The sequence below is a fragment of the Homo sapiens genome, chromosome 2 (assembly GCF_000001405.40).
Source record: "Homo sapiens chromosome 2, GRCh38.p14 Primary Assembly".
NCBI classification, from domain to species: Eukaryota; Metazoa; Chordata; class Mammalia; order Primates; family Hominidae; genus Homo; species Homo sapiens.
Genome location: NC_000002.12, coordinates 27355275 through 27381078, shown reverse-complemented (window position 1 = coordinate 27381078; position 25804 = coordinate 27355275). Strand labels below are relative to the sequence as shown.

Here is a 25804-nt window from a genome sequence, read left to right as displayed (position 1 = left end):
AGGAGAGCCCAGAGCGAGCTGCTGGTAGGCCGGCCTGGCGGGCGTCGCGGCTGCCCCTCGCCCCCTCCTGCAGCCAGAAATGATCTAGTTCCCCCAGGGACAGGTTGGGACCGGTCTGGCTGGCCTGAAGCCTGGAGTCGGGCAGGACGCCTCCTGCGCTGCTCCCTGGCCGGCTCCCCGCTGCCGCTGATTGGCTTGCTCCCCGCCTCGTCACAATCACTTCCCGGTCACGCCATTGAGGCTCCCGCCGCGGCCGCTTCCCACGGACTACGCGTCCCGTGCGTCTCTGCGGCGGCGGAAGCGGAAGCGAGTACGGAGGTACCAGCTGGTCTCCGTAGGGGGGTAGGGGGCTCCATGAATGGAAGCGGCGGCGGCGGCGGGAGCGGCCTGAGCTGGGCGCCGGGGCCAGGGCCGGGGGCTGCCCAGGGCCCGCGCCGCTGCATGGGGGCGGCCCGCGGGCCCTGAGAGGAAGGGCAGACAGGCGGGCCGAGATAGGAGGGGCGGGGTCGGGCGGCCGCAGGCCGGAGGCGCGTCGGGCTGGAGCCGGTCACGATGCCCCGAAGGAAGCAAAGCCACCCGCAGCCCGTGAAATGCGAGGGGGTCAAAGGTCAGGGGTCAGGGGCCTTGAGGGGAGAGGAGCGGGGGTGGGGTCAGTGGAGTGGGCTCAGGTCAGGGTGGAGGGGGACTCCTGAGGGATGAAGTGGGCGATCCAGACTCCTAGCTTCCCACCGAGGCACTAAGGGAATCAGAGTGGGTCAGCGAGTACGGGAAGTGTGGTCCACGAGGGCTGGTTCCTGAGGGAGAATCCACAAGCCCCCTCCCCTCTTCAGTGGATACTGAAGACTCCCTCGACGAAGGACCCGGGGCCCTGGTATTGGAGAGTGATTTGCTACTAGGCCAGGATCTGGAGTTTGAGGAGGAAGAGGAAGAGGAGGAAGGCGACGGCAACAGTGACCAGCTCATGGGCTTCGAGAGAGACTCGGAAGGTGGGTTTTCGGGTCTTGGTTAAGGATTAGCGGCCGCTGGAGACCCCAGCCCTTCAGGAGGCAGGTTAGGTGAACAGAACACCATTTCCTGCCACAACCGAGGGCTGGTTTAGTTTACATTTGAGCTAGATGACTTCATTTGTTTAATGGTCCAATCACTTCCATCACTTTGTTGAGGTGAAGTTCTGAGGCCTGGTCAAAGGTGATAGGAATAGGAGGGTGGGTGAATCACATGGAGCAACTGATTAAAAGTAAATGCCCTGTCTCTCTCCCTAGCCCATTCCTTATGTGTATTTACTTTTAAGAGAGGTTCAGGGAAGCAAACTCTCTGTAAATCATTCAACCCAGTATTTAGGTCTAATCTAACTCCCTTTCACCTGCAGCGTAAGCTCCTTTTGTATTGAGAGGTTTTAGTTTCTGTCTTTATCCTTCCATGTCCCTCTTCCCTGTGATCTTAGCATCACCCTACCCTAATTTGCTGCACTACCCATCCACTTATGCAAGATGTTTTTTGAAAGTCATTGAGGGGATCCATGTAAATATCTGTTCTTTAGGCAGGCAAGTGGTATTACATGCATTACTTTCATTGTCTCCACTTCCCTCCAAATTTTGCCTCAGAGATAGGTTTTATTTTATATCAGCTCCTTACTAAAAGGGGCCTTAGCAATAGAGCTTAGAAAAAGGTCTTGGGGGCTCTCTCCCTTTCGTATTTTTACTTTCTTGTCTCAAGAATTAATTTCATTATGGATTCATTTCAGTCTGTGATCCACTGTGAGCCCTTGATCCTTGACCATTGAGGGAAACTAGATACAGGTCAATTCTACCATCACTAGATTAGTCCAGTGTAAGAGGTAGACAATTCATGTTGAATTTTCTGGAATTACTGCAGGGGAGACCTTGATTCCTAGGAGGGAACTAAAGGGATCATCAAAGCTAAGGGTGGAGCCAAGCAAGTGGGGAGACCATAAGTGAAAAGGGGAGAGTTTGGAGCCTGATCCTACCCTATGCTGATGTCTCTTCTTATGTCTATTTCACCAGGAGACTCTCTGGGGGCCAGGCCTGGGCTTCCCTATGGGCTGAGCGACGATGAGTCTGGGGGCGGCCGGGCACTAAGTGCGGAGAGTGAAGTTGAGGAGCCAGCCAGGGGTCCAGGGGAGGCCAGGGGTGAGAGGCCAGGCCCAGCCTGCCAGCTGTGTGGGGGGCCGACAGGTGAGGGGCCGTGTTGTGGGGCAGGAGGGCCGGGTGGGGGGCCCCTGCTGCCCCCACGGCTACTGTACTCATGCCGCCTCTGCACCTTCGTGTCCCACTACTCGAGCCACCTGAAGCGGCACATGCAGACACACAGCGGAGAGAAGCCGTTCCGCTGTGGCCGCTGCCCCTACGCCTCAGCCCAGCTCGTCAACCTGACACGACATACCCGCACCCACACTGGCGAGAAGCCCTACCGCTGTCCCCACTGCCCCTTTGCCTGCAGCAGCCTGGGCAACCTGAGGCGGCATCAGCGTACCCACGCAGGGCCCCCCACTCCTCCCTGCCCGACCTGTGGCTTCCGCTGCTGTACTCCACGACCAGCCCGGCCTCCCAGTCCCACAGAGCAGGAGGGGGCGGTGCCCCGGCGACCTGAAGGTAAGACACACCAGGGACCAAAGATCTTGGGACATGGGTGGCTGACCCTAGGAATGCTTGGATTGGATTCATAGCCCAGGTCTTTGTCCCCACAGATGCTCTGCTCCTTCCAGATTTGAGCCTCCATGTGCCACCAGGTGGTGCCAGTTTCCTGCCAGACTGTGGGCAGCTGCGGGGTGAAGGGGAGGGCCTCTGCGGGACTGGATCAGAACCACTGCCAGAGCTGCTATTCCCTTGGACCTGCCGGGGCTGTGGACAAGAGCTGGAGGAGGGTGAGGGTAGTCGGCTGGGAGCTGCCATGTGTGGGCGCTGCATGCGAGGAGAGGCTGGAGGGGGTGCCAGTGGGGGGCCCCAGGGCCCCAGTGACAAAGGCTTTGCCTGTAGCCTCTGCCCCTTTGCCACTCACTATCCCAACCACCTGGCCCGGCACATGAAGACACACAGTGGTGAGAAGCCCTTCCGCTGCGCCCGCTGTCCTTATGCCTCTGCTCATCTGGATAACCTGAAACGGCACCAGCGCGTCCATACAGGAGAGAAGCCCTACAAGTGCCCCCTCTGCCCTTATGCCTGTGGCAATCTGGCCAACCTCAAGCGTCATGGTCGCATCCACTCTGGTGACAAACCTTTTCGGTGTAGCCTTTGCAACTACAGCTGCAACCAGAGCATGAACCTCAAACGTCACATGCTGCGGCACACAGGCGAGAAGCCCTTCCGCTGTGCCACCTGCGCCTATACCACGGGCCACTGGGACAACTACAAGCGCCACCAGAAGGTGCATGGCCACGGTGGGGCAGGAGGGCCTGGTCTCTCTGCCTCTGAGGGCTGGGCCCCACCTCATAGCCCACCCTCTGTTTTGAGCTCTCGGGGCCCACCAGCCCTGGGGACTGCTGGCAGCCGGGCTGTCCACACAGACTCATCCTGAACTAGGTCCTTCTTCCCCATGTTTTATACAGACGGACCAGAAGCCACCTTTTTCTCCCCCGCTGGCCAGGGGCTCCACACAGACTAACGTAGGCACTATAAGGACCAGCCCAACCCCATGGGCGGGGGGGCCCATATGGACCAGGGGACCTTGCCTTGACTGAGGCACTTCACGAGCTCAGTGAGAAGGGCCCTGTATTCACCTCCACTGCCCCCAGGGGCTGTGGACAAACCGGCTGGGGGACTGCCCAGCCTCCCACCTGTTTATTTAACTTATTTCAGTGCTTTATAATAAAGGAAACACTAACAAAGCCATGTCTATGCTGAATTGGCAATGGCAGGCAATTTGGCCTTACCCTTAGCATAGTAGTCCATGCTGTGATGGGGGAAGCAGGGGCAGTGAGAGGGAACCAGAGGTAGGCAGCAGTCAGGCTGAGTTTAATGATGGGGAACTGGGCCAGACCAAACACAGACCTCTGCCCATCCCCTTGGCCTTTGGCCCATGGCTCCAAGAGGCCAGAAGCGGCCCAGAGGGAGATATGGTTCCTCCCCAAGGCAGGCAGCCATGGTCCCTTAGACTTTGTGCAAAATACTAAATGCTAATTTGGCATCGAGGGCCAGCTCTGAAAAGAGAAGGGGCAATCCTCTGTGCAGCCAGCCCAGGGGACAAGGAAAGGTAGGATACGAGGCCCCTGGCCAAGAGAAAAGGGGTAGGTAGGAAAGAAGAAGGAAAAGACCCCTCCGCCCCTAGCATGGGGGACACAGGCACAGGGCAAGTTTCTGTAAATTCCTCTGGGGTAGAGGGCAGACATCCAAGCAGTGGAGATTACAGATCCTCATCTCCAATGCCCTCGAAGGCGAAATTGCCGTGGACATCACTGGCACTGGCATCTGTGCTGGGACTGCCAATTCCCCGCAAGCTCACGGCACTCAGCTTACTCTGTAACAAAGGCAGGGTGGGGTCAGAGATCTTGGGCGTGCAAGATCCCCCAACAAACAGCAACCTCACCAACGCTGGAACTCACTGAGAGTTTGACCATAGACTCCCGGGTGGCATCAGGTGACTCCTGGGGAAGAAGAGGCAGAGGTGTCAGAAACTCACTAGGAGAGGTGAGGCAGGGCTGAGAGCCAGGGTTCTGACCAGGAGGTAATACTTACAAGCAGTGGTGGGGACTTCACTGCTTGCTGGCTGTCTGAGCGTCTCAGAGTACCCCCCACCCGCCGGCGCAGCATCTGGGGACAGACACAAGGTGCCGGTGAGGGCAGGATCACTTCCCCTCCCTCTCAAGACAAGCCTCACATCTAGGACAAAAGGCAAGGGGAGCACACCTGCTCACTGCTCAGTCCACACTTGCTGCCTACCTTCCTGATACTGCCGCCAGATTTCTTCACCATCAGTTCATCAACCATGGACTGCAAGCAGATGCTCATCATGATAGCCTGAGGGCAAGAAGAGTGTCCAGCTTGATGAGAGTGGTCACTCTGAGCCCAGCACCACTAATGCCTCCCATATTGAGTACTGGAAACTCTACACTTTAAGGTGCTCCAGAGGAGGGCTGAGGGTAGGTTCACACCTGGGGGCTAGTGATGGTGACCCACTGTAGCCGGTCCTTGCTCATGAGGTATTCAAAAGCCAGTTCCAGGCGCACCTCACCCCGGCCCCGGCCTGGGCTGCTCGTGCTTCCACTGGGCAATGGTACCTGGGAGAGGAAGGGGAATTCGGTTGAGTTCACTCTGACCAACCTGTCTGGCTCCCTGACCCGCTGCAGCCCATACCTAAGCTCAAGGCTTGCCGGGCCCCCAACCCAGGCCCTTCCCCCTCCTAACCCGACTCACAGAGGAGGTGACCCGCCAGCATCGCATGCGGGTGACCCGGAAGGAGCCTTCTCGGAGTTGCTGGCCAGGCAGGCGGAGCTGCAGGCTGAGCTCACTGTTGCCCGCGCTCACCACCACAGGACAGTCCTTTTCTGGGAAGTCAGCCACACAGGCATCAAAGCGCAAGTAGCCATAGTGCCGCAGCGTCTGGGCCAGTCTCAGGAACTGAAAAATGGTCATCACATGGGGGTAGATTAGGAGGGAGAATGGGGCAGCTCAGAAAAAGCAACCCCGGTCGGGCGCGGTGGCTCATGCCTATAATCCCAGCACTTTAGGAGGCAGAGGCAGACAGATCACAAGGTCAGGAGCTCAAGACCATCCTGGCTAACATGGTGAAACCCTGTCTCTCCCAAAAATACAAAAAATTAGCCGGGCGTCGTGGCGGGTGCCTGTAGTCCCAGCTACTCGGGAGGCTGAGGCGGGAGAATGGCATGAATCTGAGAGGCAGAGCTTGCAGTGAGCCAAGATCGCGCCACTGCAAGCCCTTAGAGGAAGACAGAGAGGAGGCAGGGCTCACCTCCTTCTTGGAGACTTTCTCTTGCAGAGATTTGAGTTGCCGGTGCTGTTCCTTGGTGACCAAGATCCACCCACGCTCAATATCTGATACCGTCTATAGTAGAGACAAGGGGCAGGCAGTAGGAGGTCCCAGTCAGCAATCCAAGGAAAGCGTCTACCATTACCTCTGTCCAGCCTGACCCCTAGCCCCACACTTGAGCGACCTCTCTGCAGTAAGTCCTTGATCTTGTCAGCTTAATAAAAGTAGGGAGAGTAGATATTGTGCCAGCAGCACTGATAGTATTCTAGGAACTTCCCCACAAATTGGGAACAAAGACACGACAGCAGTTTTCTTGGGAGAGTGAGTCACCCGTTATTTTCTTCAGGGGAAGGGTTCTGAGGCAGCTCCAAGCTCACCTGAGCATAAAGCAGGTTCAGGCCAACCCGGTTCTCCATGACATCGTCATCATAGGCAGAGTCCCAATAACTGTGAGGCCAAGGGGTGGAAAGGGGTAATGGGGCTAAGCTGGGTTAAGGCAAGAGGTAGAATGGAAAATGGGCAAAACAGGAGCAATCTGGAACTATCAGGGGCTAATGGTATAGTGGGAGGAAGCTTGGGAGGCCTGGCAGAAACACCCAGCACTACACCCCCTTGTCCAGATTATTCTGTCTCAATATGTGGCCCAATAATCCAATCCAGCACAGCACCTCCCACCCCTCCCCTTCCAGGCCCAGCCCTGACCTCTTCCTTAGCACAATCTTATACTCTTGACTCCGAAGGCTGGTGACAGACACATAAGGCAGCTCAAACTCTTGCAACTTCCGTACAACTACAGGTTAAAAAAAAAAAAATGAAAATATAGTGAGATTTAAAGGAAGGGAAATCAAGAAAGAAGTGCCCTGAGGCAATGTTCATTCTGGGGGTGGGGGTGGGGAGTTAGGGGGGCTGCAAACTCTACTGAAGTACCCTTGTACTGCAGTCAAGTCCAGAGAAACTCACAAGAAAAGGCTCCATCCTCTTTTTCTCGAACTAAGAATAGACTAAAGTATCCAATCAAGTCATCTGGAAGATCCAGCTTTGCAGCTACAGCCTGGGGATAGGGATAGAAGTACAGCTCATCATACTGGCTGGTTCCAATCATTCTCCAAGCCCAGGACCCCAGGATGTAGGGGAAGAAGGGGCAGTGCTGAACAAGCGCCTCACCTCCAGGACATCCTCAGTCTGATCTGAAGTTAGCACGTTGACCAGAACTTTCTGCCCGTTGCTGAGCAGCACTTCCAAGGACACTTCCTCTGTGGGGACCTGCTGTGTCTCCTGTTGTGAGCACACATGGGGATGGGAAGCACTGCCTTGTCCCTTGCCTTGACCTATGCCCAACTCTATTTCTAGGTCCCTTGTGTGTCTTTATTCTCAGCTGCTTAAATATAGGCTGTGATTTCTTTGATTTCATAAGAATAGAAGTTCCATTCCATTAAAAAAGATGACTCCTCTGTTATTAAGATGACATGGCCTGGCTGGGTGTGGTGGCTCACACCCGTAATCCCAGCACTTTGGGAGGCCAAGGCGGGTGGATCACCTGAGGTCAGGAGTTCGAGACCAGCCAGGCCAACACGGCAAAACCCCGTCTCCACTAAAAATACAAAAATGAGCCGGACATGGTGGCAGGCGCCTGTAATTCTAGCTACTTGGGAGGCTGAGGCAGGAGAATCGCTTGAATCCGGGAGGCGGAGATTGCAGTGAGCTGAGATCGCACCACTGCACTCCAGCCTGTGCAAAAGAGCAAGACTCTGTCTCAAAAAAATAAAAGACATGACCTTCCAGCAAGGTCCTTTCCTTAAATCTTGGTCCCACCCAAAGCCCTACCTGTTGTGCCCGACGCAGGAAACTGTTGAAAGTCTCGCTGCTCCCAAGCAATGGGTCTTGCCGAACTACGAGGACAAGAGAACATTATTACAGGAACTTAGCACTCACTCTTGGCTCCCCAGTCCTCCTCTCAGTAGGTTCCCCCGACCCCATTTCCTGGGCTGATGGTGGCCTGCCACATCCCCCAGCTGGCCTCACCTCACTCACTGTTTGCATAAATTCTTCACCTGCCCCACCCTTGGCTGCCATCTAGGTGAGTCCAGTCTATAGAACTAGGGAAATAACAATGATGTTAATCTAAAGCACATCAGATACAAATTAAGTTCTCTCCACTGATATTAAGACTAGTGTTATACTAGTATTTCTCATAGATGTTAGTGCCCAAATTGTTTTGCTAGTACACAGAGTTACACATCCTCGTACACTATTTACTTTGCTAACTGCATAACAGATCAAACAAGAGCCTTCCTAGATCTAGAAATTAAATCAGGCCCTTCCACAGAACCAGCTGTTTTTAAGTCTCTCCCCATAGTCCTCAATATAGTCAACCTAGTTTCCTGCAACCACTCACCAGCTTGCATGTACTTCTCTAACTGCTCTCTCCTCTGTTCTACCTCAGCAGGAGTCAGAGAGAAAAGCTTCTTTGGGGGGAATGCAGGAAGCACATTGGCCCCATACTCCTTCCGAAGCTATTTAGAGAAAGAGATACAACCCTTCACATAAACACAGAAAATGAGATGAGGCAATCTACATATGCTCATAATGTTCTCTTGGGTGCCCCTCCCTTCCCTCAGTCCCTGTTCCCCTGTCTACCCTGGTCATCTGAGAAACAATTCCTTTGACAGCGGTAGCACCTCAAGGGAGCTGTCCTAGATATAAGTTGTGCTCTATTTTACTGTGTACAAGTCAGCCCCTCCACAGTACGGGGAGGATTTGTACTGGGCCAGGACCTATAGGGAGCCCCTTGACCACCTAGCAAGACTGTTCACTGAACCCTTAAAGGAAGGAAAGGGCTTTATAAAGTGCACAGTTAATAGCTAAGTCTGTTCACAAAATATCTTAGGACTTAAAGGGACTTTGCAGATCAAAGAATCCATCTTTCAGTTGTAGAAACTGAGGCCCAAAGAAATCAGTTTCTACAGGCCTCATGCCTGTAATCTCAGCATTTTGGGAGGCAAGGTGGGTGGATCACCTGAGGTCAGGAGTTTGAGACCAGCCTGGCCAACATAGTGAAACCCCTCTCTACTAAAAATACAAAAATTAGCTGGGTGTGGAGGCAGCCGCCTGTAATCCCAGCTACTCAGGAGGCTGAGGAAGGAGAATCGCTTGAACCCAGGAGGCAGAGGTTGCAGTGAGCCGAGATCGTGCCACTGCACTCCAGCCTGGGCAACAAGAGAGAAACTCCGTCCCAAAAAAAGATATCAGGTAACTTGTTCAGGGTTGCACAACTAATTATCAGTGGAGCTCTACTGAGTTAAATAGAGTTTAAGATCTGGTAAGGAAGGAGGAGAAACATTGCATCACAGATACATAACGATAATTGGCACAGCTAAACACACTGAAATGAGCCGAAGAACACAAAAGGAAATCGGTGAATCGTTTGTATAAGCAGGGAAAAGAATTTCAAGTTGCCGCTCAGATGACAGAAGGAATGTGCTTTGACAGCCTGGGTGGAGGTAGTGGGGGGAGGGGTTGGTTTGTCCATGCAGGGGTAAAGGCTACTAGAGCAGTAAGACTGGACAGAAAACCAGAATATAAGAACAGGAAGGAGCAGTTGTTGCGCGGACATTAAGCTTCTTAGGGAGTTCCCGGAAATGTCAGACAAGATAAACCAGGGCCCTACCCTGTGGCAGTGATTAAAGGGGAACTACAGCCTACGGGAACAAGAAGAGCGGGTAAAGGGAGACACTGATGTCCACGTGTAGGGAAGGGCTTGAAGCTGTCTCAAGGCAGGGGTGCTAGTCCCACCTGCTCGTGCAGCCCCAGGAGCTGGCTGTAGCGCACCCGACAGTGCAGGACTCCATTCACGTGAATGTTATAGGCCTGAGGACACAAAAGTAGTCAAGCATTTTAGGGTTGCGGTCTGCGCAACCCCCCTGAGAACCCTGGCCGGAAGTTGCCTGGCAACTCGCCGGAGTAACGCGCTAATCTCCCGAGGGATAGTTCGCTTGTTTTCGCCAGGGCCAAGTCCCAAAGCTGAAGAGCCAGTCCGGGGGAAATTCGGACGCTTGTGTTGCAGTCTCACTGCCCAAGAGGCCAGTGACGCCCACCAGGGCAGCTGCGGCCTAGCTCGGGGAAGCGACCCGGCCTAAGGGCCTACAGGAGCTCGGGCGACCACTGCACGAATCACACACATGAGATAAGCTCCCAGAGAGGCCGTCGGGAGTCGGCGGCCCAGGACCAGGCCCGAAGGGTGGCGGTCAGGCCTCAGAGGCCGCTCCGAGATGGCTCGGGCCCGTTATCCCCGCCCCTGCCCGGCCCGGCTCGGCTCCGGCCGCTCCTCACCACGTAGGCGGAGCCGCCGCTGTCCCCGCTGCGGGACTCGGTTTCGGGAATGGAAAAGTGCATGTTCCCTACGGCACGGCACGGCCGGGCTCCGGACTGTGAGGGCCGCAGCGGCTCTGCACGCTCCCCCTCCGCTGCTCAGCGAGTCCCCGCAGCCTCACTCGCCATTTTGGGAGCCCTGCGATCCGATGTGGGAAGGCGGTGGGACGTCGGTTCTGGGACGCAATCGCCTGGGCATGCTGGGAACTGTAGTCTAAAGGGCAAGAGCCACCTGTCCGGATAGGGAGCCCAAAGTGGAGTTGGCCCTCATTGCAACCCGTAGTGCGGGGCGGGGCCTCGGGGCCCGTCGGAAATTGTAGTCCGATTGGGGCTGCGCGCTTCGCTTCTGCGGCTCAGCCTCCAGCCCAGGTGGCGCTGTGGACCCTGCAGCCGCGGAGCGAGGCAGCGGGGCGGCTCCGTGACCACGGCGGGCGGAGCCTAGGACTGAGGGCGATGGCTGCTGTGGCCGTGGCTGTTCGCGAGGGTGAGTGAAGAGCCGGGCCTGCCTACTGGTACGCGGAGCCGACGAGCTCCGGACAGCTAGTGCCGGGCCTTGAGCGCCTTTGGGCCCCGCCGCTCCGTTCCAGCGCCACGCTGGGCTCCGGTCTACACAGTCTCGAGCGCAGTCCCGCGCCGCGCACCGGCTGGTTGCTGTGAGGAGGGTCGGTGACCCCTCCATTCCTTTGATCCGCCGCGCAGTGCGTCCCCACGCGGATCCCTGGCTCGCCTCGCGCCTGCCGGCGGATCCGTGGTCATGCCAACCCAGCAGCCGGCTGCGCCGAGTACTCGTGCCCCCAAACCCTCCCGGAGTCTCTCTGGCTCACTTTGTGCCCTGTTTTCTGATGCAGACTCGGGATCCGGGATGAAGGCGGAGCTTCCCCCTGGGCCTGGGGTAAGTGAGGCTTCCCTCCCAAGCCGCCTGCCAAGCGCTACGCAGGAGGCTGTGCCAGCTTTATTCCGCCCCAGCTCCCATCCCGTGTCGGTTTATTTCTCAGTAAAGCCAGGAGATTTTACAGAGGTCTTGCAACCCTAGGGATATATGATTCTGTCCCTGGAGGAGAAACGTCAGCCTCTGTGGATGTAAGCTTGCAACAGGTAGCTTGTGGAAGTTAGGAAGAACTAGGGATTTAACCATGTGGAAATCTTGTAAGCATCCAATAGTATTTGTTCCCCTTTGGAATTGTTGGGGAAGAGCAGTATCCTATGTCTGTGTCTCAGGCAGTGGGGAGGGAAATGACCAAAGAAGAAAAGCTGCAGCTTCGGAAGGAAAAGAAACAGCAGAAGAAGAAACGGAAGGAAGAAAAGGGGGCAGAACCAGAGACTGGCTCTGCTGTATCTGCAGCCCAATGTCAAGGTGAGTGAGGGGTCTCTTTTAAAGGGCTGGGGTGTGGAGCTGGTAGAGGGATGTGGTGGGAGAGATAAGGGAGAGACAGGACAAAGTTGATTTGAGCAAGTGTGTAAAGCAAAGAGGTTTACAAGGAGAGAAGCTAGTTTTAGCTGGGGCACGGATATCACCTGCCTGCAGCTTGGGCATTTTTTTTTTTAATGCTTTTAGTAGGCCCAACCAGAGAACTGCCAGAATCGGGCATTCAGTTGGGCACTCCTCGGGAGAAAGTTCCAGCTGGTCGGAGTAAGGCCGAACTTCGGGCTGAGCGTCGAGCCAAGCAGGAGGCCGAGCGGGCCCTGAAACAGGCAAGAAAAGGGGAACAAGGAGGACCACCTCCTAAGGCCAGCCCCAGCACAGCTGGAGAAACCCCCTCAGGTATCTTCCCTTCATTTTAAGACCTCCCTTACTCCTAATTATAACGCCAGCTCAGGCTGCCCAATAGTAAAACAGCTCTCCCCTCTCATTCTTGGGACCCAGAGTTCTGAATTGTTCCTGCAACCCCATTATCCTATCCCTATTTCCTTTTCTACCCTATTCTCCCGTTTTCTCCACCTCATCCTGTTTTTCTTGATGCCCCTTATACCCTAAGAGCAAATTACACATTTCAAGACCTACAGTGTCCTGAAAACATGATGATTATCTTTCAGGAGTGAAGCGTCTCCCTGAGTACCCTCAGGTTGATGACCTACTTCTGAGAAGGCTTGTTAAAAAACCAGAGCGTCAACAGGTAGGAAGTGGGTTTGGTGCCTGGCTAGAAAGAGCCTAGGGAAATGGACTGGAGGGAGGAAAGGTGCTGGGTGCAAAGTGAGAAGGATAGGTGCTTGGGTCAGAGTAGTCTTACTGTTCACTTCCTTTCCAGCTTTATCCCATCCTTTTTAAACTCTGGGCCATTGGTCCTGTTCCCTTGTTTTGTCAAGGTTCCTACACGAAAGGATTATGGATCCAAAGTCAGTCTCTTCTCTCACCTACCCCAGTACAGCAGACAAAACTCTCTGACCCAGTTTATGAGGTAGGATCCTATGAAATTGTCATAACTTTTGAGTCTGAGGAGTTTTAGTAAGTCAGTATTGAAAGTTTCTAGTAATCTGAGATGGACTCTGTAGGAAAAAGTATGAACCCAAGGCAGAACTGTAGAGGAGTGGGGAAATCTGCTAGTGAAGGGAGTTCCTTTTCATCAGGGGCAGGTGGGCAGTAGATGCTCAAGCTCCCTTTCAAAGTATGTGACACCGCCATCCCATCAGCATCCCATCCTCTGTGATCCACCCAGCCATGGTGCGACTCGGCCTGCAGTACTCCCAGGGCCTGGTCAGTGGCTCCAATGCCCGGTGTATTGCCCTGCTTCGTGCCTTGCAGCAGGTATGTCCCATCCTGTTCTCTCTTATGATCCAACCCCACCTCCCCCAATACTACCCCAGCTTCTGTCACCCAAGGTCATCTCTGGGGGACAGAGGGAATACTCCTACCCTCAGAACATTTTCCTCAGTGAAGCTTACCCCCAGCCCCCGTTCAGAGATCTTTATTAAGGGGTATTTTGCAGATCACCTTGTGTACCCTATAGGTGATTCAGGATTACACAACACCGCCTAATGAAGAACTCTCCAGGGATCTAGTGAATAAACTAAAACCCTACATGAGGTAGGGACAACACTATAAGTCCACTCCCAGCTCGCCCAATCTTTGTCTTGTACTCTTTTTCCTGCTTTTCTATCTCTCTTTTCATTTTGTGTTCTATTTTCTTTTTAAAGACTTTTTTTTTAAATGTGAAGGCTTTGTAAGTTGTGAAGAGTTGCGCAGATATAAGGTATTGCTGTTGTATTATAGCTTCCTGACTCAGTGCCGTCCCCTGTCAGCGAGCATGCACAACGCCATCAAGTTCCTTAACAAGGAAATCACCAGTGTGGGCAGTTCCAAGCGGGAAGAGGAGGTGATGAGTATGAGAAATAAGGAAGGCATGCACCTGTGGGTAAAATTAAGAAACATGTTAAAAACTCCCGGGAAGGCCAACGTAAGCCTTTTTTTGCCCTAGTCAAGGGTTAAGGAATGGTTTGGCCATTCTGACTTGTGCCATCTCTGAGCCCTCTATAGGCTTGTCATCATACACATATTCAAGCACCTGGCATGATCATCAGAGGGATAAAAGTGTCCATTTCTTGTTCACTAAGGATTTTACTCCATTTAGGCCAAGTCAGAACTTCGAGCAGCCATTGATCGGTATGTGCAAGAGAAGATTGTGCTAGCAGCTCAGGCAATTTCACGCTTTGCTTACCAGAAGATCAGTAATGGAGATGTGATCCTGGTATATGGATGGTATGGTCCAGACCTTGTGACTGAGCAGATTGGGAGTTGGAATGATCTGAAGAAGGGACTACCCACTTGCCTTTGGGAATAAGTTAGTCATCAGTTACTGACATTTATAACTGAATCCTCCTCTTCATTCACTCTAGCTCATCTCTGGTATCACGAATTCTTCAGGAGGCTTGGACAGAGGGCCGGCGGTTTCGGGTGGTAGTGGTGGACAGCCGGCCATGGCTGGAAGGAAGGCACACACTACGTTCTCTAGTCCATGCTGGTGTCCCAGCCTCCTACCTGCTGATTCCTGCAGCCTCCTATGTGCTCCCAGAGGTAAGTACAGAGGAAAAGGACTCCAAAGTTGGCGGTGAAAAGGTGTAGTAGTATAGACATAATCTCACCTTCCCAAAGTTACAGTTTTGTTTTTGTTTTGAGATAAGGATGGAGTGCAGCGACGTGATCACAGCTCACTGCAGTCTTGACCTCCTGGGCTCAGGTGATCTTCCCACCTCCGCCTCTGAGTAGCTGGGACTACTGGTGTGTGCCACCATGCCCAGCTAGTTTTTTATTTTTCTTGTAGAGATGGGATATCGCTACATTGCCCAGGCTGGAACTCCTGGGCTCAAGCAGTTCCCCCTGTCTCGGCCTCCCAAAGTACTGGGATCATAGGCATGAGCCACTGTGCCCAGCCACAATTATTTAAAAATATTAGAATTATATAGCCCTGGCTTGGTGCCATGGCTCAATGCCTGCAATCTCAGCACTAAGGCAGGAGGATCACTTGAGCCCAGGAGTTCAAGACCAGCCTGCTCAACATAATGAGACCCTGTACACACACACACACACACACACACACACACACACACACACACACACCCCACCCCACCCCCACCCCGGGCATGGTGGCATGCGCATGTAGTTCCAGCTACTTAGGCTGAGGTGAGAGGACTGCTTGAGTGCGTGCGCGCGCGCACGCACACACACACACACACACACAGCTACTTAGGAGGCTGAGGTGAGAGGACTGCTTGAACACACACACACACACACACACCCGGGCATGGTGGCATGCGCATGTAGTTCCAGCTACTTAGGAGGCTGAGGTGAGAGGACTGCTTGAGCCCAGGAGGTTGAGGCTACAGTGAGCTGTCATTGCACCACTGCACTCCAGCCTGGGTGACAGAATGAAACCCTGTGTCAAAAAAAATAATTATATAGCTCTGTTTCTATTTAATTGGAAAAACACTGACAGTATATTACAGCAGTCTAGCTATTGCAAAAACATTACATTAAACTAGCAACCAGGAAGAGGGAACAAGACAAAAGTAACTTCAAAGTTTACTTTTCCTGTGGGAGATTTGGTGGGTCAGTGGTCAGGTGTTTTCACAGAAGAAAAGCCATCATTAAGATTTATTAGGCCGGGCACAGTGGCTCAAGCCTGTAATTCCAGCACTTTGGGAGGCCGAGGAGGGCAGTTCACGAGGTCAGGAGTTCACAATCATCCTGGCTAACACAGTGAAACCCCGTCTCTACTAAAAATACAAAAAATTAGCCGGGCGTGGTGGTGGGCGCCTGTAGTCCCAGCTAATCTGGAGGCTGAGTCAGGAGAATGGCGTGAACCCAGGAGGCAGAGCTTGCAGTGAGCCGAGATCATGCCACTGCACTCCAGCCTGGGCGACAGAGCGAGACTCCATCTCAAAAAAAAAAAAAAAAAGGATTTATTAATTGCCGGACTCAGTGGCTCACGCCTGTTATCCTGGCACTTTGGGTGGCTGAGGCGGGCAGATCACCTGAGGTTGGGAGTTCGAGACCAGCCTGACCAACGTGGAGAAACCCCGTCTCTACTAAAAATATAAAAATACAACAAATCAGCTGGGAGTGGTGGTGCATGCCTGTAATCCCAGCTACTCGGGAGGCTGAGGCAGGAGAATCACTTGAACCCAGGAGGCAGAGGTTGTGGTGAGCCGAGATCGCGCCATTGCACTCCAGCCTGGGCAACAAGAGCAGAACTTCATCTCAAAGAAAAAAAAAAAAAAGATTTATTACTTGTTGTCTGTTTTTGTTTCTTTCCCTTCTTTTCACAGGTGTTGAGATTTATTACTTGTCTTAATGTTGCTGTCCTGTAAGTAGGGGACCTTATTTTGCATTGATACAACAATGACATTTTTTTCTTCCTCTTCTCCTGTGAAACAGGTTTCCAAGGTGCTATTGGGAGCTCATGCACTCTTGGCCAACGGGTCTGTGATGTCACGGGTAGGGACAGCACAGTTAGCCCTGGTGGCTCGAGCCCATAATGTACCAGTGCTGGTTTGCTGTGAAACATACAAGTTCTGTGAGCGTGTGCAGACTGATGCCTTTGTCTCTAATGAGCTAGGTAAGGAGGCAAAAGAGAAGCCTCCAGCTACCTGTGAAGACTTGAGAGGGAGGGAGAGGGGCGGATAAACTAGAACTTCTTTTCTGAAAGAACATAATGGGTACGCCTTCCATTGCAGATGACCCTGATGATCTGCAATGTAAGCGGGGAGAACATGTTGCGCTGGCTAACTGGCAGAACCACGCATCCCTACGGTTGTTGAATCTAGTCTATGATGTGACTCCCCCAGAGCTTGTGGATCTGGTGATCACGGAGCTGGGGATGATCCCTTGCAGTTCTGTACCTGTTGTTCTACGAGTCAAGAGCAGTGACCAGTGACGGGGGAAACACAGGGTTAATAAATGCCATACTCCCTACCCTCAGCAACTCTGCTGCCTTTGTTTCTCTTTTAGCATCTCCACCACTTAAGTTAGGAGTCCAGACTTCACAACCCCTTTTATCACCTGCTACTCAGACCTTTGTGAAGACCTGCTCAAGTAACTAGCTCCATGCCAGTACATTGGGACTAACCTGAAGACCCGTATAAAGAACCAAAACTACCCAAATCAATCATTCACTGAGCATCTACATGCCAGACACTAAACTGGGTGTGAGGAGGAATATGAAAACAAATAGTCCTGGGCTGAGTGCAGTGACTCATTCCTGTAATCTCAGCATTTTGGGAGGCTAAGGCAGGAGGATTGTTTGAGCCCAGAGGTTTGAGACCAGCCTGGGCAACATGGCAATCCGGTCTCTACAAAAAATAAAAATTAGCTGGGCATGGTTGTGCTCATCTGTTGTTCCAGCTACTCAGGAGGCTGAAGCCAGAGGATTGCTTGAGTCCAGGAGGTAGAGGCTGCAGTAAGCCATGATTGTGCCGCTGCACTCCAGCCTGGGTGACAGAGTGAGACCCTGTCTCAAAAAGAGAGTCCTAACCTTATAAATTAGCATTTGTTGAATATTTAACTGTGTGTCAGAAACTGTTCTGAACCCTTTCTTACCCATTTAGGAAGATTAATACAACTCTATGAAGGCTGGGCGCAGTGGCTCATTTGGGAGGCCGAGGCAGGCAGATCACCTCAGGTCAAGAGTTCAAGACCAGCCTGGCCAACATGATGAAACCCTGTCTCTACACTAAATACAAAAATTAGCTGGGCGTGGTGGCGCATGCCTGTAATCCCAGCTACTCCAGAGGCTGAGGCAGAAGAATCGCTTGAACCCAGGAGATGGAGATTGCAGTGAGCTGAGATGGCACCATTGCACTCCAGCCTGGGCAACAAAGCGAGGCTCCATCTCTAAAAATAAAAATAATAATACAACTCTATGAAGTAAATGCGATTTTACAGATGAGATAATGGAAGCATAGAAAGGTTAAGTTGCTTGCCCAAGGCAACACAGCTCAGACACAGAAAGGTTAAGTTACTTACCCAAGGCAGACAGAGAGATGAAGTTACTTGCCCTAGGTAACACAGCTAGTCAGTAGCTAAACCAGGATGTGACCTCAGGCAGTCTGGATCTAGAAACTGTGCCCTTAACTTTTGTGCTATATTCCCTTAAGGAACGCTTACCATGGCATAAGAAGATAGTATCTACAGTATGAGGTAACCCAGTAGTAGTATGAACAAAAGATTGGTGAAAACTTACAAGTCACATCTAACCTAGTCCTTGAAAGATAAGTAATTGCCCAGTTAGGGAAGAAAAAAAAAGAAGAAACAGCTTGAACACAAAGAATAGGCCTTAAAGTGAGTGGCCAATGTAAAAGTGTCACATAGTATAGTGAGGCTAGAACTGAGTCTTATTGTTGAGTGATCAAACTGCAAAGGTAAGTTGGGGCCAGACTGTGAGTCCAACCACTGGTTAGCTTAAAATGAAGAGTTATCTATTGGGTATATATGTGTGTTATTGAATTTTTTTTTTTTTGAGAAAGAGTCACTCGTCTCCCAGGCTGGAGTGCAATGGCACTATCTCGGCTCACTGCAACCTCTGCCTTCTGGGTTCAAGCAATTCTCCTGCCTCAGCCTCCCAAGTAGCTGGGATCACAGGTGCCTGCCACCACACTTAGCTAATTTTTGTATTTTTAGTAGAGACGGGGTTTCACCATGTGGGTCAGGCTGGTCTTGAACTCTTGACCTCAAGCAATCCACCTGCCTTGGCCTCCCAAAGTGCTGGGATTACAGGCGTGAGCCACTGCACCCAACCATTTTATCAAATTTTTTTTTTATACTTTAAGTTCTACAGTACATGTGCGCAATGTGCAGGTTTGTTACATAGGTATACATATGCCATGTTGGTTTTATCAAACATTTTTAAGCAGCGTAAAAGTAGAACTATACAAAGAATCTCCATGACCAGATGCAACAGTTATCAAATTTGCCACATTTACTTTCTCTTTTTGTTGTTTTTCTTTTTTCTTTTTTTTTTTTTTTTTTTTGAGACAGAGTTTCGCTCTTGTTGCCCAGGCTGGAGTGCAATGGTGCAATCTTGGCTCACTGCAACCTCCGCCTCCTGGATTCAAGCGATTCCCCTGCCTCAGCCTCTCGAGTAGCTGGGATTATGGGCATGTGCCACCATACCCAGCTAATTTTGTATTTTTAGTAGAGATGGGGGTTTCTCCATGTTGGTCAGGCTGGTCTTGAACTCCCGACCTCAGGTGATCCGCCCGCCTCAGCGTCCCAAGGTGTTGGGATTACAGGCGTGAGCCACAGCACTCAGCCTTCTTGTTTTTCCTTGATGAAGTTACTTTAAATCAAATCCAAGCATTATATCATTTCACTCCTTTAACTTCAATGTCTCTTAAGAAATATGGAAATTTACCATAATATCACTTATTAAATCATACTTTCTTAGTATTCAATCCATAATCAAATTTCCTTGGCTGAAAAATGACTTAGTTTGACTCAAGATCCAAACAAATCCACACATTACATTTGGTTACATTTTTTAAAAAGCAGTCTCCTCAGCCGGGCGCGGTGGCTCACGCCTAATCCCAGCACTTTGGGAGGCCGAGGCGGGCAGTTCACGAGGTCAGGAGATGGAGACCATCCTGGCTAACACAGTGGAACCCCATCTCTACTAAAAATACAAAAAATTAGCCAGGCGTGGTGGCGGGCGCCTGTAGTCCCAGCTACTCGGGAGGCTGAGGCAGGAGAATGGCGTGAACCCGGGAGGTGGACCTTGCAGTGAGCAGAGATCTTGCCACTGCACTCCAGCCTGGGCGACAGAGTGAGACTCTGTCTCAAACAAACAAACAAACAAACAAACAAAAAAAAAAAAAAAAGAGCAGTCTCCTATCCCCTTTTTACATTGACATTGGCTTACAGAAGCCATGTTGATTGTCATATGAAATGTTCTGCATTCTAGATTTGACTGTTTGCTTTCTTATGTTGTCATTTCACTCATTCCCTATGTCCTGTATTTCTTTTTTTTTTATTTGAGATGGAGTCTTGCTCTGTTGCCCAGGCTGGAGTGCAATGGCACGATTTCAGCTCACTGCAACCTCTGCCTCCCAGGTTCAAGTGATTCTCCTGCCTTAGCCTCCCGAGTAGCTGGGACTACAGGTGTGCGTCACCACATCCAGCTAATTTTCTTTTGTATTTTTAGTAGAGACAGGGTTTCACCACATTGGCCAGGCTGGTCTTGAACTCCTGACCTCAGATTATCCGCCCTCCTTGGCCTCCCAAAGTGCTGGGATTACAGGTGTGAGCCACCACGCCTGGCCCCTAAGTCCTGTATTCCTATTCAATTTTTTGGGCAAGAATGTTTAATAAGTGGTTCTGTGTGCTTTATATTGCCTCACATCAGGAGGCAAACAATGACTGGTGGTTTCATGTTCAGTGATGAGTGGGTCCAGGCATTTTAAAGCTTCCTAAAAGCTCTTTAGGGATTTCATCCACTGGTGATTGTTGCCTGAATTATTTCACTGGGACATGCAAAATAGTGATTTTTTTCTATCATTCTTTGCACAATTACTAGCTGTTAATCTATAAAAAAAAAAAAAAATCCCGGGCTGGGCAATGGCTCACACCCGTAATCCCAGCACGTTGGGAGGCTTAGGTGTGCGGATCACCTGAGGTCAGGAGTTCAAGACCAGCCTCGCCAACATGGTGAAACCCCGTCTCTACTAAAAAAATACAAAAATTAGCCGGGAGTGGTGGCGGGCGCCTGTAATCCCAGCTACTCAGGAGGCTGAGGCACAAGAATTGCTTGAACCTGGGAGGCAGAGGTTGCAGTGAGCCGAGATCGCGCCACTGCACTCCAGCCTGGGCGACAGAGTGAGACTCAGTCTCAAAAAACAAACAAAACCTTCCTCTCATCAGTTATTTTGAACTAGAGTTCATACTGGAAAGACAAGATAAATGCCTTACTCTTGCCTTTTTTTTTTTTTTGCCAATTTTCAGGAATTGGTCACTACTTTCTTTTTTTCTTTCTTTTTTTTTTTTTTTTTTAGAGCTTAATGAGTTTTTTTTATTTTTTTATTTTTTTATTTTTTAATTTATTTTTTTATTGCTAATTCTTGGGTGTTTCTCACAGAGGGGGATTTGGCAGGGTCATGGGACAACAGTGGAGGGAAGGTCAGCAGATAAACAAGTGAACAAAGGTCTCTGGTTTTCCTAGGCAGAGGACCCTGCGGCCTTCCGCAGTGTTTGTGTCCCTGATTACTTGAGATTAGGGATTGGTGATGACTCTTAACGAGCATGCTGCCTTCAAGCATCTGTTTAACAAAGCACATCTTGCACCGCCCTTAATCCATTTAACCCTGAGTGGACACAGCACATGTTTCAGAGAGCACAGGGTTGGGGGTAAGGTCACAGATCAACAGGATCCCAAGGCAGAAGAATTTTTCTTAGTGCAGAACAAAATGAAAAGTCTCCCATGTCTACTTCTTTCTACAGAGACACGGCAACCATCCGATTTCTCAATCTTTTCCCCACCTTTCCCGCCTTTCTATTCCACAAAGCCGCCATTGTCATCCTGGCCCGTTCTCAATGAGCTGTTGGGCACACCTCCCAGACGGGGTGGTGGCCGGGCAGAGGGGCTCCTCACTTCCCAGTAGGGGCGGCCGGGCAGAGGCGCCCCTCACCTCCCGGACGGGGCGGCTGGCCGGGCAGGGGGCTGACCCCCCCACCTCCCTCCCGGACGGGGCGGCTGGCCGGGCGGGGGGCTGACCCCCCACCTCCCTCCCGGACGGGGTGGCTGCCGGGCGGAGATGCTCCTCACTTCCCAGATGGGGTGGCTCCTCACTTCTCAGACGGGGCGGCCGGGCAGAGACGCTCCTCACCTCCCAGACGGGGTCGCGGCCGGGCAGAGGCGCTCCTCACATCCCAGATGGGGCGGCGGGGCAGAGGCGCTCCCCACATCTCAGACGATGGGCGGCCGGGCAGAGACGCTCCTCACTTCCTAGATGTGATGGCGGCTGGGAAGAGGCACTCCTCACTTCCTAGATGGGATGGCGGCCGGGCGGAGACGCTCCTCACTTTCCAGACTGGGCAGCCAGGCAGAGGGGCTCCTCACATCCCAGACGATGGGCGGCCAGGCAGAGACACTCCTCACTTCCCAGACGGGGTGGCGGCTGGGCAGAGGCTGCAATCTCGGCACTTTGGGAGGCCAAGGCAGGCGGCTGGGAGGTGTAGGTTGTAGCGAGCCGAGATCACGCCACTGCACTCCAGCCTGGGCACCATTGAGCACTGAGTGAACGAGACTCCGTCTGCAATCCCGGCACCTCGGGAGGCCGAGGCTGGCGGATCACTCGCGGTTAGGGGCTGGAGACCGGCCCGGCCAACACAGCGAAACCCCGTCTCCACCAAAACCAGTCAGGCGTGGCAGCGCGTGCCTGCAATCGCAGGCACTCGGCAGGCTGAGGCAGGAGAATCAGGCAGGGAGGTTGCAGTGAGCCGAGATGGCAGCAGTACAGTCCAGCTTCGGCTCCACATGAGAGGGAGACCATGGAAAGAGAGGGAGACCGTGGGTAGAGGTAGAGGTAGAGAGGTAGAGAGGTAGAGAGGTGGAGGTAGAGGTAGAGCAGTTTAATGGTCACTACTTTCAATGGTGTAGGATGAGTAGCTGATATTTTGGCTTTTACTTTTTTTAAAAGATCATTATCAATACATGGATTTCTATATTTTGAACATACTACTTAATCATCAAAATTAAGCAGAGGATCAACAGGGTTGCTTTATGCTTTAGAAAGATAACCGGGCCAGGCATGGCAACTCACACCTGTAATCCCAGCACTTTGGGAGGCATAGGCAGGAGGATCGCTTGCGCTCAGTAGTGTGAGACCTGCCTGGGCAATATAGCAAGACCTCATCTCTATTAAACAACAACAACAAAAAAACCTGGAAGTGGTGGTATACACCTGCCACACACCCCAACTATTCAGGAGGCTGAGGTGGCAGGTTGAGGCTGCAGTGAGCCGTGATTGCACCACTGTCCTCCAGCCTGGGTGACAGAGCAAGACCCTGTCTCAAAACAAACAAACAAACAAACAAACACCTAGTAGAAATTAGAGGCAGAGAAGTAGATCAGTGAAAAGATTGGTTATAAATCAAAATTACAAATGCACCTAAAACTTTGGTTCACAATTCCACTTCTAGAAATTATCCTACCCATATAGTTACACATTTGAAGTAATTTAGATGCAAGGTTACTTATAGCAGTGTGATTTATAATAGCAAGGGACCATTGTTTATAACAGCAAAACCATGTAAATATGCATCAATATCAACAAGGCACTAGTTATACCACATCCACCCAATTAAATGCTAACTAGTTATAGCACAGAATGAGAAAGGTTTTTGTGTACAGAAATGGAATAATGGCCAAACTCAGTGACTTACACCTGTGATCGCAGCACTATGGGAGGCTGAGGCAAGAGGATCACTTCAGGTCAGGTGTTCAAGACCAGCCTGGTCAACATAACGAGACCCCATCTCTAGAAAAAATTAAAAAATTAGGCCGGGCGCGGTGGCTCATGCCTGTAATCCCAGCACTTTGGGAGGCTGAGGCAGGCGTATCACAAGGTCAGGAGTTCGAGACCAGCCTGGCCAACATAGTGAAACCCCTTCTCTACTAAAAAGACAAAAATTATCCGGGCTTGGTGGCGGGCGCCTGTAATCTCAGCTACTCGGGAGGCTGAGGCAGGACAATTGCTTGAACCCGGGAGGCGGAGTTTGCAGTGAGCCGAGATCGCGCCACTGCACTCCAGCCTGGGGACAGAGCAAGACTCCATCTCAGGAAAAAATAAAAATAAAAATAAAAACGGGGTCTCACTATGTTGCCCAGGCTGGTATCGAATTCCTGGGCTCAAGTGATCCTCCCCCGCCTTGGCCTCCCAAAGTGCTGGGATTACAGACAGGAGCTACCATACCCAGCCAAAGTCATGCTTTTCTACTCCTACTCCTTCCCTTCCTTGTCCTCTTTCCAAGCTCTCTCGGGCCCATCCCTGACTTCACTACTGGCAGAATCCTCCAGCGGCCGGCGGCGAGGACTTCTTTGTCTCCCAGACTCCGCCTTGGGCTCGGACGCCGCCAGGGTTGCAGGTACAGACTCTCTGGTCTAGCTGGCTCTTCCGGCCACAGGCGCGGCAGTCCGGCCGGAAAGGCCGGATTCAGGGATCCAGAGCGCGAGCCCGGCCTGGGAGTCCGCCTACTCCCGGCTCCCGTCGAGGCCGCGTGGGATCCCGTTGGCCGCGCAGGCGTCGATCTCCCCTTTTTGACACTGCAACTCCCATGAGGCCCTGCAGCGTCCCTGGCGCCGCTGAAGACGCCCTGGAACTCGGCTGGCTTCGGAGGGCTCGGTGACTCTGGCCGCGCTGCATTATGGAATACAGAGTCTAAGAGAAAACTAGCCCGGCACCGACTCCGGACCAAGCACACGTGTTTACCTTGTGCACTGGGGTGGGGGCGTCAGTGAAGAGCAGCTAACAAGATTTCGTCATAAGACCGCGACCAGACAGGCGGCGCCATCTTCGAACTTAGACTTCCGGAAGGACTTTGGCGAGGGTGAGTGTATCGCCGCAGCGGGTGTGTGGGGGGCCCCACAATTACTCCTCCCCCTTCTTTTGCCATAGCACTAAGATATTGGGAACAAACTCCTGGCTCCGCTCTTCTCCCAGCCACAGCAGCGCGCCTTTCAGCGTCTGCGCTCCTACAGAGCACCATCATGCTCCGCACCTTCCCTACTGTGGCCACCGTGCACCCCCCATCTCTGCAAGCCTCGGGTCTTGCCCTCCTCCCCCACGCGGTGTCGGTAACGCGGAAGCCTGTGTCCGGGCGTAGGCGCTGCATACGTAGCGTCCCTCGAACTCGGCGAACCTACAGTAGTCCTTGTTAGAAAAACCAGGGCTCCTCTCCCGCACAGGCTAGGGGAGAAATCTACCTTCACGCCCAGGACTGAAGAAGGGCAGGTGATGGCCCCTAGAGTGGTTGTGGGTCAATCTCTTTCAGCTGTGTCCCAGCCTCTTCCTCGAGGAGGCTCTTTAACCCCGAGGGTTGTGCCCCGCGCGCTGCAACGCCATTGGCGTAACCAAGGGCCAGTTGTGTTTCCCTGTCTAGTCCTTTTGTCCCGTGGCAAGTTGGCTGCCTGTTGGGGAAGTCAGAGGTGGCGACTTCAACTCCGTCGGAGGCAACTCACTTTGTTGGAGGGATGTATAGGGTATGGACAAACCTCTTTGTTCCAGAGGCATATACAATTTTAAGTCAATCCCGTGCCATCACTATTTTTGCAATCTCTTATCAATTGTACTATTGTTTTCTGAATAGTTCTCTTTAAATTGACTTACTTAAAAAGTTTAAATGCATTAGTCTCGACCTAAGCAATATAAATGAAACCGTGGGTTTCATGGGCTACTTATAATTGTTTATGTAAGTTGAAATAAAAGCACTAGTCATTAAAATGTTCGTTTTCGTACCATTAAAATCATCTTGCATACCGCCAGTTGTACCCTAGGAACACTTTAGGAAACAATATATTAAGCTAAGCAGTGTATTCAAAGTAATTTCATACTTAAGGTGCAGTGTTGTGTCATTATTTTTTCTTGGCTGGGGAGGTCAAGCTGGCATCCTGGAGCAGCATGGGAACCAGACAGATTGGGGTGCAATGGAAGGTTTTAGAAACTCAGTACGAATTTACTGATCATCTATTCCTTTACTGTGTATCCAGAATTTGTACCATTACATCCTGCTGCTGCCTTCCATGAGAAGTGTATTTTTTTTTTTTTTGATACGGAGTTTTGTTCTTGTTGCCCAGGCTGGAGTGCAGTGGCGTGATCTCGGCTCACTGCAACCTCCGCCTCCCGGGTTCAAGCGATTCTCCTGCCTCAGCCTCCTGAGTAGCTGGAATTACAGGCGCGTGCCACCATGCCCGGCTACTTTTGTATTTTTAGTAGAGACGGGGTTTTACCATGTTGGTCAGGCTGGTCTCGAACTTGTGACCTCGTTATCCGCCCACCTCGGCCTCCTAAAGTG

The 25804-nt window shown here is 51.9% G+C and overlaps 4 protein-coding genes and 1 long non-coding RNA gene across 57 annotated transcripts in view, besides 17 other annotated features; 3 read left to right on the top strand and 2 right to left on the bottom strand.

Annotated features, from left to right (window-relative positions):
- ZNF513 (zinc finger protein 513) lies at window positions 345-3844 on the top strand. 3 transcript variants are annotated; one of them, NM_144631.6, is made up of 4 exons: window positions 345-607; window positions 831-986; window positions 2025-2612; window positions 2708-3844. In NM_144631.6, the coding sequence occupies exons 1-4, from the start codon at window positions 553-555 to the stop codon at window positions 3532-3534; spliced, it is 1626 nt and encodes a 541-aa protein (NP_653232.3). In that variant the 5' UTR covers window positions 345-552; the 3' UTR covers window positions 3535-3844. The 3 variants fall into 3 exon arrangements, with proteins under 3 accessions (NP_653232.3, NP_001188388.1, XP_005264200.1); NM_001201459.2 differs by lacking the exon at window positions 345-607 and having other exon boundaries at window positions 635-986; XM_005264143.4 differs by lacking the exons at window positions 345-607; window positions 831-986 and having other exon boundaries at window positions 2103-2195; window positions 2302-2612.
- Window positions 373-592: a silencer, noted in NCBI's record as "silent region_11297". NCBI's record gives its function as "represses an Ori minimal core promoter by ATAC-STARR-seq in GM12878 lymphoblastoid cells {active_cell/tissue: GM12878}" and the evidence as "EXISTENCE:reporter gene assay evidence [ECO:0000049][PMID:35858748]".
- Window positions 1733-2603: an enhancer, noted in NCBI's record as "H3K27ac-H3K4me1 hESC enhancer chr2:27601343-27602213 (GRCh37/hg19 assembly coordinates)". NCBI's record gives its function as "activates a minimal SCP1, AML or CMV promoter by ChIP-STARR-seq in naive H9 embryonic stem cells {active_cell/tissue: H9 hESC(naive)}" and the evidence as "EXISTENCE:reporter gene assay evidence [ECO:0000049][PMID:30033119]".
- Window positions 3218-3377: an enhancer, noted in NCBI's record as "active region_15506". NCBI's record gives its function as "activates an Ori minimal core promoter by ATAC-STARR-seq in GM12878 lymphoblastoid cells {active_cell/tissue: GM12878}" and the evidence as "EXISTENCE:reporter gene assay evidence [ECO:0000049][PMID:35858748]".
- On the bottom strand, window positions 3544-10463 carry SNX17 (sorting nexin 17). Of its 12 annotated transcripts, none has more exons than NR_049783.2 (16): window positions 10273-10463; window positions 9736-9810; window positions 8339-8480; window positions 7966-8039; window positions 7768-7832; window positions 7108-7218; window positions 6904-6994; window positions 6646-6733; window positions 6321-6390; window positions 5926-6018; window positions 5370-5573; window positions 5108-5233; window positions 4896-4973; window positions 4692-4766; window positions 4559-4600; window positions 3544-4473 (listed from the first exon to the last, which is right to left on the bottom strand). NR_049783.2 is itself a non-coding variant. In NM_014748.4 (15 exons), the coding sequence occupies exons 1-15, from the start codon at window positions 10333-10335 to the stop codon at window positions 4360-4362; spliced, it is 1413 nt and encodes a 470-aa protein (NP_055563.1). In that variant the 5' UTR covers window positions 10336-10463; the 3' UTR covers window positions 3544-4359. The 12 variants fall into 12 exon arrangements, 5 of the variants coding, with proteins under 5 accessions (NP_055563.1, NP_001253988.1, NP_001253990.1 ...); NR_049784.2 differs by having other exon boundaries at window positions 8339-8456; NR_049782.2 differs by lacking the exon at window positions 7966-8039 and having other exon boundaries at window positions 8339-8456; window positions 9611-9810.
- Window positions 9572-10533: an enhancer, noted in NCBI's record as "H3K27ac-H3K4me1 hESC enhancer chr2:27593413-27594374 (GRCh37/hg19 assembly coordinates)". NCBI's record gives its function as "activates a minimal SCP1, AML or CMV promoter by ChIP-STARR-seq in primed H9 embryonic stem cells {active_cell/tissue: H9 hESC(primed)}" and the evidence as "EXISTENCE:reporter gene assay evidence [ECO:0000049][PMID:30033119]".
- Window positions 9572-10560: a biological region, named in NCBI's record as "H3K27ac-H3K4me1 hESC enhancer GRCh37_chr2:27593413-27594374".
- Window positions 10081-10170: an enhancer, noted in NCBI's record as "active region_15505". NCBI's record gives its function as "activates an Ori minimal core promoter by ATAC-STARR-seq in GM12878 lymphoblastoid cells {active_cell/tissue: GM12878}" and the evidence as "EXISTENCE:reporter gene assay evidence [ECO:0000049][PMID:35858748]".
- Window positions 10391-10450: an enhancer, noted in NCBI's record as "active region_15504". NCBI's record gives its function as "activates an Ori minimal core promoter by ATAC-STARR-seq in GM12878 lymphoblastoid cells {active_cell/tissue: GM12878}" and the evidence as "EXISTENCE:reporter gene assay evidence [ECO:0000049][PMID:35858748]".
- Window positions 10471-10560: an enhancer, noted in NCBI's record as "active region_15503". NCBI's record gives its function as "activates an Ori minimal core promoter by ATAC-STARR-seq in GM12878 lymphoblastoid cells {active_cell/tissue: GM12878}" and the evidence as "EXISTENCE:reporter gene assay evidence [ECO:0000049][PMID:35858748]".
- Window positions 10534-11495: an enhancer, noted in NCBI's record as "H3K27ac-H3K4me1 hESC enhancer chr2:27592451-27593412 (GRCh37/hg19 assembly coordinates)". NCBI's record gives its function as "activates a minimal SCP1, AML or CMV promoter by ChIP-STARR-seq in naive H9 embryonic stem cells {active_cell/tissue: H9 hESC(naive)}" and the evidence as "EXISTENCE:reporter gene assay evidence [ECO:0000049][PMID:30033119]".
- EIF2B4 (eukaryotic translation initiation factor 2B subunit delta) lies at window positions 10741-16727 on the top strand. Of its 8 annotated transcripts, none has more exons than NM_001318967.2 (13): window positions 10741-10795; window positions 11160-11203; window positions 11534-11665; window positions 11870-12073; window positions 12346-12425; window positions 12616-12707; window positions 12940-13054; window positions 13257-13333; window positions 13520-13622; window positions 13878-14005; window positions 14143-14320; window positions 16181-16361; window positions 16480-16727. In NM_001318967.2, the coding sequence occupies exons 3-13, from the start codon at window positions 11545-11547 to the stop codon at window positions 16677-16679; spliced, it is 1479 nt and encodes a 492-aa protein (NP_001305896.1). In that variant the 5' UTR covers window positions 10741-10795; window positions 11160-11203; window positions 11534-11544; the 3' UTR covers window positions 16680-16727. The 8 variants fall into 8 exon arrangements, with proteins under 8 accessions (NP_001305896.1, NP_056451.3, NP_001305898.1 ...); NM_015636.4 differs by having other exon boundaries at window positions 11530-11665; NM_001318969.2 differs by having other exon boundaries at window positions 11530-11665; window positions 11867-12073; window positions 12966-13054.
- Window positions 10781-11060: an enhancer, noted in NCBI's record as "active region_15502". NCBI's record gives its function as "activates an Ori minimal core promoter by ATAC-STARR-seq in GM12878 lymphoblastoid cells {active_cell/tissue: GM12878}" and the evidence as "EXISTENCE:reporter gene assay evidence [ECO:0000049][PMID:35858748]".
- GTF3C2-AS2 (GTF3C2 antisense RNA 2) lies at window positions 13199-24314 on the bottom strand. Of its 16 annotated transcripts, none has more exons than NR_183827.1 (4): window positions 24223-24314; window positions 23177-23271; window positions 21619-22194; window positions 13199-13655 (listed from the first exon to the last, which is right to left on the bottom strand). It is a non-coding gene; the product is annotated as a GTF3C2 antisense RNA 2 (long non-coding RNA). The 16 variants fall into 16 exon arrangements; NR_183831.1 differs by lacking the exon at window positions 24223-24314 and adding an exon at window positions 23707-23939; NR_183832.1 differs by lacking the exons at window positions 13199-13655; window positions 24223-24314 and adding exons at window positions 15195-16002; window positions 23787-23939.
- Window positions 20814-21555: an enhancer, noted in NCBI's record as "NANOG-H3K27ac-H3K4me1 hESC enhancer chr2:27582391-27583132 (GRCh37/hg19 assembly coordinates)". NCBI's record gives its function as "activates a minimal SCP1, AML or CMV promoter by ChIP-STARR-seq in naive H9 embryonic stem cells {active_cell/tissue: H9 hESC(naive)}" and the evidence as "EXISTENCE:reporter gene assay evidence [ECO:0000049][PMID:30033119]".
- Window positions 23694-24307: an enhancer, noted in NCBI's record as "NANOG-H3K27ac-H3K4me1 hESC enhancer chr2:27579639-27580252 (GRCh37/hg19 assembly coordinates)". NCBI's record gives its function as "activates a minimal SCP1, AML or CMV promoter by ChIP-STARR-seq in primed H9 embryonic stem cells {active_cell/tissue: H9 hESC(primed)}" and the evidence as "EXISTENCE:reporter gene assay evidence [ECO:0000049][PMID:30033119]".
- Window positions 23694-24921: a biological region, named in NCBI's record as "NANOG-H3K27ac-H3K4me1 hESC enhancers GRCh37_chr2:27579025-27579638 and GRCh37_chr2:27579639-27580252".
- Window positions 23985-24114: an enhancer, noted in NCBI's record as "active region_15501". NCBI's record gives its function as "activates an Ori minimal core promoter by ATAC-STARR-seq in GM12878 lymphoblastoid cells {active_cell/tissue: GM12878}" and the evidence as "EXISTENCE:reporter gene assay evidence [ECO:0000049][PMID:35858748]".
- Window positions 24125-24464: an enhancer, noted in NCBI's record as "active region_15500". NCBI's record gives its function as "activates an Ori minimal core promoter by ATAC-STARR-seq in GM12878 lymphoblastoid cells {active_cell/tissue: GM12878}" and the evidence as "EXISTENCE:reporter gene assay evidence [ECO:0000049][PMID:35858748]".
- Window positions 24308-24921: an enhancer, noted in NCBI's record as "NANOG-H3K27ac-H3K4me1 hESC enhancer chr2:27579025-27579638 (GRCh37/hg19 assembly coordinates)". NCBI's record gives its function as "activates a minimal SCP1, AML or CMV promoter by ChIP-STARR-seq in primed H9 embryonic stem cells {active_cell/tissue: H9 hESC(primed)}" and the evidence as "EXISTENCE:reporter gene assay evidence [ECO:0000049][PMID:30033119]".
- Window positions 24315-25804, top strand: part of GTF3C2 (general transcription factor IIIC subunit 2) — a 30911-nt gene continuing 29421 nt past the window's right edge. For 9 of the 18 annotated variants that reach the window (NM_001394514.1, NM_001394516.1, NM_001394512.1 and 6 more), the window contains exon 1: window positions 24315-24340. Coding sequence is in view for 1 of the 18 variants with exons in the window: in XM_047444016.1 (XP_047299972.1) it covers window positions 24748-24992 (245 nt within the window). In the remaining 17 variants the exon portion in view is untranslated. Of the gene's footprint in view, window positions 24993-25804 lie in introns of all 18 variants that reach the window. The other 9 variants (NM_001394511.1, NM_001394507.1, NM_001394506.1 and 6 more) reach the window with 4 other exon arrangements.
- Window positions 24515-24794: an enhancer, noted in NCBI's record as "active region_15499". NCBI's record gives its function as "activates an Ori minimal core promoter by ATAC-STARR-seq in GM12878 lymphoblastoid cells {active_cell/tissue: GM12878}" and the evidence as "EXISTENCE:reporter gene assay evidence [ECO:0000049][PMID:35858748]".

What these genes read in the sequence shown, in the direction of transcription:
- ZNF513 (NM_144631.6), top strand. Translation starts at nt 553, where the DNA reads ATGCCCCGAAGGAAGCAAAGCCACCCGCAGCCCGTGAAATGCGAGGGG. An exon ending in GAAATGCGAGGGGGTCAAAG is followed by an intron (nt 608 to 830) that starts GTCAGGGGTCAG and finishes TCCCCTCTTCAG; the next exon opens with TGGATACTGAAGACTCCCTC. An exon ending in CTTCGAGAGAGACTCGGAAG is followed by an intron (nt 987 to 2,024) that starts GTGGGTTTTCGG and finishes CTATTTCACCAG; the next exon opens with GAGACTCTCTGGGGGCCAGG.
- SNX17 (NM_014748.4), bottom strand. Translation starts at nt 10,335, where the DNA reads ATGCACTTTTCCATTCCCGAAACCGAGTCCCGCAGCGGGGACAGCGGC. An exon ending in AGACTGAGGATGTCCTGGAG is followed by an intron (nt 6,995 to 7,107) that starts GTGAGGCGCTTG and finishes CCCTATCCCCAG; the next exon opens with GCTGTAGCTGCAAAGCTGGA. An exon ending in AGTCTATGGTCAAACTCTCA is followed by an intron (nt 4,474 to 4,558) that starts GTGAGTTCCAGC and finishes CCTTTGTTACAG; the next exon opens with AGTAAGCTGAGTGCCGTGAG.
- EIF2B4 (NM_001318965.2), top strand. Translation starts at nt 11,066, where the DNA reads ATGCCAACCCAGCAGCCGGCTGCGCCGAGTACTCGTGCCCCCAAACCC. An exon ending in ATCTGCAGCCCAATGTCAAG is followed by an intron (nt 11,666 to 11,866) that starts GTGAGTGAGGGG and finishes TAATGCTTTTAG; the next exon opens with TAGGCCCAACCAGAGAACTG. An exon ending in CTTTGTCTCTAATGAGCTAG is followed by an intron (nt 16,362 to 16,479) that starts GTAAGGAGGCAA and finishes CTTCCATTGCAG; the next exon opens with ATGACCCTGATGATCTGCAA.